The 8304-nt window shown below is 36.8% G+C and overlaps 1 protein-coding gene across 2 annotated transcripts in view; it reads left to right on the forward strand.

The window, feature by feature from the left end:
- Window positions 1-8304, forward strand: part of CNTNAP2 (contactin associated protein 2) — a 2304198-nt gene that overhangs the window by 955480 nt on the left and 1340414 nt on the right. The window lies entirely within an intron of this gene.

Genomic DNA, 8304 nt, shown 5'->3' on the forward strand with positions numbered 1-8304 from the left:
ACAAATCCTGCAATAGATGGCTTTTTAGGCAATGTTCCTGATTTCTGGTTTTGATTCCATTAGAAACCCAAAGAGATGCCACCAAACTATCTTAAGCCAACAGTTTGTATGTGTTGGAGTGATGGACATGGAGGAAGCATATCATGATCATGTCTGCTCTGGGTAAGCCTTGCTCTGGCTGTGGTGTAGAGGACAGGTCTGAAGGCAGAAAGAGAAGACTTGGTAACACCTGTCACAGGATATGACTGCAGTGCCAGGGTGAGACCTGGCAGCCTAGACTAGGATGGTGGTAGCAGAGTGGAAATATCTGGGAGGATTGAAGAGCTATTAGAAGGTAAAATCTACAGAACTTGGTTGTGGGTTACATGTGGGCTGTGGTGGAAAAAAGTGCTGGAAATGCCTCCCATGTGTCAGTCTGGTTTTACCTGGTATTGGGCAATACCATGCAGGTATGGACTGATGGGAGAGACTCAGATTTAAAGAAAGGATCACACATCTGTTGTTTTTTTTATTTTTGAGGAGGTGAACTTAACACTCTGGGTCTTTATTTCCTTTTCTTCCTTTATTCTTTTTTTTTTTTTTTTTTTTTTGAGATGGAGTCTTGCTCTGTTGCCCAGGCTGGAGTGCAGTGGTGTGATCTCGGCTCACTGCAAGCTCCACCTCCTGGGTTCACACCATTCTCCTGCCTCAGCCTCCCAAGTAGCTGGGACTACAGGCACCCGCCACCACGCCCGGCTAATTTTTTGCATTTTTAGTAGAGATGGGGTTTCACCGTGTTAGCCAGGATGGTCTCGATCTCCTGACCTCATGATCCACCCGCCTCGGCCTCCCAAAGCCTTTTCTTTTTTTTTTTTTTTTAACTTTTATTTTAAGTTCAGGACTACATATGCAGGTTTGTTTTATGGATAAGAAAATGTGGTACATATATTCCACAAAATACTATGTAGCCATAAAAAGAATGAGATCATGTCCTTTGCAGGGACACGGATGAAACTGGAGAGCATCATCCTTAGTAAACTAATGCAGGAATGTAAAAAAAAAAAAAAAACCACAAATACTGTATGTTCTCGCTTGTAAGTGGCAGCTAAATAATGAGCACACATGGTAAATGTTGAATCCGAAGTGCCTTTACGGCATCTACAAGGTGTTGCGTGGATAACTAAATAAAGGAGTCAAGATCTCAGCTTGGATAGGACAAACGACAAATTGTGACTTAGCTATGCATAGGAGAGGTAATTGAAACCGTGTTTGGATGAGATCACCTAAGGGTGAGAATAGAGGGTGAGAAAAGAAGAGCATCTAAGACTGGTCCTTAGATCTAAAAATAATGGCTGAATAATGGAACATAAGCTTCAAAGCAGACAGAGAATGAGTGGCAGGTAGGTCAGGGGAAATCTAGAAGGGAGATGTGACAAGAAAGCATGCCAGGAAGACAGAAATGGGCACCAGGGATGAGCACTGCTAAGAGATCATGCAAGATGAGGACTAAAATATTGTCCAGGAAATTAGTAAAATTGAAGTTGTTGGTGACCATAGCATGAGTTGTTTATGGAAGGGACGGAAATTTAAACCTGGGTGATGTGAATGGAGTATGGGGATGAAGGGTGGGGTTAGGAGATTGAGTCAGAAAATGCAGTGTGGCATTTCCAAATGAAACACAGCATCAGATAATAGGATAAAGATGAGGCATTTCATTTGTTCGCTCTTTTAAACAGCCTGCTTTTGGAATCAAGATGGTGAATTCAATTAACCTATTATTATTTCTTGGTATATGACAGTTCACTAGCTATTGCACTCCGTAGAATTTATTTCATTCTATTCACCCTGGCTGAAGAACCATAGGTAAGATCCAACATTTTCAGTGGCAGCCCCTCAAAACCAACGTGTTTCCCTGATAATCATTCTGCTTCCCTTCTTTTGTTGTTTCTGGAGATCTCCATCTGCTCTTCCATTTATCATCTGCTTGATATTCTTGGATGGTGTGCTTGGTTGGCCTATGCTATGGGTTCAGATAGGCAAGTAACTATATTCCCCTTCCCCATTACAGATGATGTGCCTCATTTAGCTATGATAAATATTTGCTCATTTCCTCACATCTGCATATGGCACTGCTACCAATCCATCTTTTCCTCCCCATCCTCATCTCTGCTAAGTTCTTTTCCTGCCACCATTTCTATGGTTGACCAGTTAGCATTTAAGAAAATATGCTGACAGTAGCCGCATCATGGATTAGCATTTCTTCATGTTCATAATGCAAAAGCCCCATTAGATGTAAAAAACTTGCTTTCTTATCTTTCCTTTGTTACACTTATATGGAACCTTTTAGAAGTTCTATTTATAAGTAGAATGATATGAATAAATAGAAATGTGCCAGTGAAATAGAATAGGCCAAAATATACATCATATTAAAAATGAAAATCAATCATTTAAATAATATTATGGCTCTTTGAAATAATATTATACCCTATATCAGGAGGTTTGTGTTTTGTCTTATTTCATTTTCAGTATGTTTCTATTGAAAGTGAGATTGCCATCAAGAATTCTCAAAACCTTCTGGGGTGAGATTTCAGAGCTTCAACTATGTTAATAGCTGTGCTTGGCATATCTAATGGTGTTTTGCTCCTTCTGAAGCATTTTTTTTAATTAGACAATACATTTATAACCAAGCTCAGTGAGGGTCCAGATTGTGGATGAGGATTAAATTGAGATTAAGATATAAGTGTCTGGTCCATTTTAGGAAGTTGTCAAACACCGTTAAGAGTACACAGTAATGTTATTCTCTGATTGTTGAATATAGGCAAGTTTCAAAAGGACCCTTCACAGTTATGAAACTTTTAAGTTTGCTATAGTGAAAAGATTGATACATGGGAATAAAAATTCACTCATGAATCTCATTTTATAAATAAATGCTTCATTTATGTAAATTGTTTGTACTTTGTGTGGGTAAACAATATTGATTGCACATCTAGTTGAAATTACTGGATGAGAAGTATTAGTATCCTATTCTTATGTGTCGATTTAACCTACAGCCTGGGTTCTCTTGACTGCCACATTCCTTTAATTTCCTTTACTTTTATATACTCATTTATCTAGAACTTAAGAAATCCCCATGGCTTGTGGTAACATGAACTGAAGATGGTATTACAACACATTTCCTTCTAGCTCTACCCAGCACGAAAGCTTTATTATAAGGATTCTGGTTCTTCTTGCTATTTGGGGAGTAATATTTTGAAAATTCATAAGATTATGTCCATCAAGCATTCCAGACTAACAATAATAATAGTATATGAATGTATGAAATACCATAACATTTTTAATATGATATTTTTAAATGAATAAATTTCTTCTTTTTTCTTTTTTTTAAATTATACTTTAAGTTCTAGGGTACATGTGTACAACGTGCAGGTTTGTTACATATGTATACATGTGCCATGTTGGTGTGCTACACCCATTAACTGGTCATTTACATTAGGTATATCTCCTAATGCTATCCCTCCCCCTTCCCCCTACCCCACGATAGGCCCCAGTGTGTGATGTTCCCCACCCTGTGTCCAAATATTCTCATTGTTCAATTCCCATCTATGAGTGAGAACATGTGGTGTTTGGTTTTCTGTACCTGCGATAGTTTGCTCAGAATGATGGTTTCCAGCTTCATCCATTTCCCTACAAAGAACCTGAACTCATCCTTTTTTATGGCTGCGTAGTATTCCATGGTGTATATATGCCACATTTTCTTAATCCAGTCTATCATTGATGGACATTTGGGTTGGTTCCAAGTCTTTGCTATTGTGAATAGTGCTGCAGTAAACATACGTGTGCAAGTGTCTTTATAGCAGCATGATTTATAATCCTTTGGGTATATACCCAGTAATGGGACAGCTGGGTCAAATAGTATTTCTAGTTCTAGATCCTTGAGGAATCGCCACACTGTCTTCCACAAAGGTTGAACTAGTTTACAGTCCCACCAACAGTGTAAAAGTGTTCCTATTTCTCCACATCCTCTCCAGCACCGGTTGTTTCCTGACTTGTTAATGAACACCATTCTAACTGGTGTGAGATGGTATCTCATTGTGGTTTTGATTTGCATTTCCCCGATGGCCAGTGATGATGAGCATTTTTTCATGTGTCTGTTGGCTGCATAAATGTCTTCTTTTGAGAAGTGTCTGTTCATATCCTTTGCCCACTTTTTGATGGGGTTGTTTGATTTTTTCTTGCAAATTTGTTTAAGTTCTTTGTAGATTCTGGATATTAGCCCTTTGTCAGATGGGTAGTATTTTTAAGTGAATAAATTTCTAAGTGAAATCAGTTATGACTTTCAAAGCAATTTTTAATCTGCTGCATTTTTATTAGTGATGAAAAGTATATGAGTTTTAATCATGAACACAATTTAAAAAGTCAACCAAAGACTTCAGGATGTTGTTCCTTGTTACTTCTGTCAGTGTAAATTTCATTAATACTATGGGTGATGAATAATATGCAATGTTTAAGCTGTTTATATTTTCTACTTTAATAGACGTTCTGGCTTTACTATCAAAAAGAATGCAAGATTTATAATTTAGAAAACAAGAAGAAAAAGAGCATTGTGAAGGTCAAACTAGCTATTTGCATTTTAAAATAGCTACTTCTCTTTTAATGGACGTTGCTACAAATGTATAGCAATAACCCCTCAGCTGGCAAATAAGGAACATTGTATTAGTTTCCTGAGTTTCTTTAAAACACAACTGCTTCGTTTCCTCCCACAGATACTATGGTATTAGATGTTTTAATTGAATTACTTAGAAAATATATCGTTTAGCTTCTTAATATAAAACTAATTTTAATCTGAGAAAATTTAAAAAAGTATTTTCTCATCCTTAAATTCTTTTTTCCATTGTTTTCCAATTTAGCCCTATTGTGTCTACAACTCAGATTTTAATCTTTTTTTTACTAAAACAAATTTATTATTTAAAAAAATTAACTTTTCTTTTTTTCCTTATAAAAGTAACCTACATTTGTATCTTTAGTTCTAAAATTACAGGTGGCCCTAATTCTTTTCTCTTTGGTATCTGGAGAAAGTGAATGCAATTATGATTAGCAGAAATGCTTTTTTTTCAATTGCACACTTTATTTAGTGGAAACAAAAGATGCATGTATGATTCAACTTCACAAAAGGAAAAGACTCAAAGCAACACTGGTGATGAGCCGTTTCATATTCTTAGGTAGACGCAAGATCCCCGTACTTCCTGAAACCTTATCTAATAGTAAAATATTTTCTGACTGTTTCTCCAGTCTTTTACCACTCTTGTCAATGGATACACACCAAATACATAAATAATGTATGCAGGTTCATTTTGGGTACCATCTAGCTACACAGCCCAGTGGAGTGGTTGAGTACAAAAGCCAGCCTAGCTTGAAATTTCAAGCTTTGACATTTTCTAGCTTCCTTGGGCAAGTTACTTAGCCTTTCTGTGCCTCAGTTTTCTTACCTATAAAATGAGAATAATGATAGTACCCTCATAATAGGGTGATTATGAGGATTGCATCAGGTAACTTTGTAAAGGTTCTGGAACATATAGCAAGTACTATATAAATGTAATACGTATGCAATTAAAATAGGCTTCAAGATACACAGATTACAGATAAAGAAATAGCTGTAGACAGAACATATCACTTTATTCACTCCACATTATTACTTTTTACATTTTCAGGCTTCTTACTACCAACTAACAGGGTATATTATTAGTTCTCTTGTCTATGACATCTGATATACCTTCCTTCCTTTCAAAGAGTGCCAAACATTTTAAATGATACTTACATTTTTCTCCAATGTATGCTGCACAATTAAGTAGATTGATAGATATTTTTCATCAGCACAAAGAGAGGATCGCAATACATATAAGACTTTATCTCTGCTGCAAAATATACCTTGAAAGAATTACATGTATAATGAAAATAACCCTGACAATGCCAACTTTATCTGCGAAATCACTGGCCGTTGACTTTCTGTGAAAGAGTTAAGTACGTTGCTGTATCAAATATTCAGTTACTCATTAATTAAAGTAGAACAAATTCAATACTTTTTTTGTTCAGCAGATTAACCAAAAACTACCATGTACCATGTTTGCAATTTATATTCATCCTATAAACTGCATATGCATTAAACATTTCCATCTGGAGCCCCGATGACTGTTTTTCTCCCATCTCATGCTTGATAAGCTGTTACTGATTAGACAGGGAATTCTGAAGCTGTTGAAAGCACAGATTTTTTTAAAGCTCTATCACCTTGGTATTCTTTATCTCTTAACAGACCTTGCTTGATGCCTGCAGGTTCCATTTTGGCTGCAATCCAGATAGGAACTATAGGTCCCCTGGCCACGATGGTCTAACACAGACAACGTTATTTGGTATCTATCTAATTATTCCTCCATTAAAAAAAACTCTCTATCTAGTCTAATTTCTAATATTGAATTTTTCTTCTTTAATTGTCTCATTTAATTTTTTTTTTTTTGAGATAGAGTCTCACTGTGTCCCCCAGGCTGGAGTGCAGTGGTGAGATCTCAGTTCACTGCAACTTCTGCCTCCCAGATTCAAGCAATTCTCCTACGTCAGTCTCCCGAGTAGCTGGGATTACAGGTGTGCGCCACCATGCCCAGCTAATTTTTTTTATTTTCAGTAGAGACAGGGTTTCACCATGTTGGCCAGGTTGGTCTCGAACTTCTGACCTCAGGTGATCTGCTCACCTTGGCCTCCCAGAGTGCTGGGATTACAGGTGTGAGCCACTGGCCTGGCCGTCTTATTTAATTTGATGTCAAACCTTAATTTAGTCTGTGACATACTCTGTAATATAACATAACTAGCATATTTTGGTGCATGGTGTTTTCTAACTATTGTTATAAAGATTTTACGCATTTTGACTGATTTAATCCTCACTAACTGTGCTACGAGGTAGATGTTATTATTATCCCCATTTAGTAGGAAAACTGAGGTCACAGGGAGGTTGAGTAACACAGCTAGGAGGCAGTAGAGCTCAGCCAGGAACCCAGAGCTTCTAATTCTGGGACCTGTGCTACCTGCCACCACACCACGGCCTGACAGAGCTGTCTTCATCCCACCGTTAGTGGGACATGCAGTTTGGGATGTTGCTCCCGTGAAAAACAGTATTCAAAAGACCCACAGCCTGACTCCTTCTTTATAATACACACCCTGGATAGCATTAGGAGATATACCTAATGCTAAATGACAAGTTAATGGTTGCGGCACACCAACATGGCATATGTATACATATGTAACAAAACTGCATGTTGTGCACATGTACCCTAAAACTTAAAGTATAATAATAATAATAATGATAATAATAATAATAATGCTAATAATAATAAATTAATTATAATACACTCCCTGCCTGACTCCTTCTTTATAATACACACCCTGCCACTTTGTGCTACCTGATAGGAATCATTTAATAGATTAAAAATGGAGTATATAATCTGTGTGCTATTAATAATTAAAAACAATGACAACAGCAAACACAATAACAATCCCATAGCTGCTGTTTGTTGAGAATCCCCACGTGTTTGTCCTTTCACAGTGTCTGTAAGCCGCGAGACTTACTGTCATGTGTCATCAGCACCTGATGAGATATTTTAAATATCACTTCATACTGAGACTCAGAAAAGTGCTCTTTCTTGTAAAAGGGCACAAAGTTAGTAAGTAGTAGAACCAGAATTCAAAGCCTAGTCCTTTTTTTTTTTTTTTTTTGCATAGCCATATGCTCTCTTATATACTAATTGGTTAGAACCCTCTAGCTTGAAAGCAACTCAGCTAGCCAGCAAATATCCCCCCAATTAGGAGGTGACTGATGTCATAACCAGATTGCTCCCTGTTCTCTTTTTGTTTGCTATAAACTTGATCCTTTGGATTTGTGCATATTCTAAAGATCACCCTGTCACCATGCCTGGAGGCAATTAAGTATAAGGGAGTAGTGTTTCAAGATAATCTCCCACTGTGAAAACATGGGAATAATTATCCAACGTAAACATGTCATTTCTTTTCTAAATTACATGGATTCCTTTTTTGCACTTTAAACCTGGATTATACATCTTACTCAACTTCGTATCCAGACCCAGGCATATACCAGCCAGGTGTATAGCATGAACTTAATAAATGTTGATTAAGTGAAGAGACTTAATAATTAATAATTAACTAATATATGATGAAAGAATTTTAAAAATTCACTTGTTTGTCCATAGTTTCATGTAGTCAACAAATGCAATCAAAAGGCCAATGATATCCATGAAGATAACATTTATTTTTTAACTAAAATCC

This window comes from Homo sapiens, chromosome 7 (genome assembly GCF_000001405.40).
Source record: "Homo sapiens chromosome 7, GRCh38.p14 Primary Assembly".
Classification (NCBI taxonomy): Eukaryota; Metazoa; Chordata; class Mammalia; order Primates; family Hominidae; genus Homo; species Homo sapiens.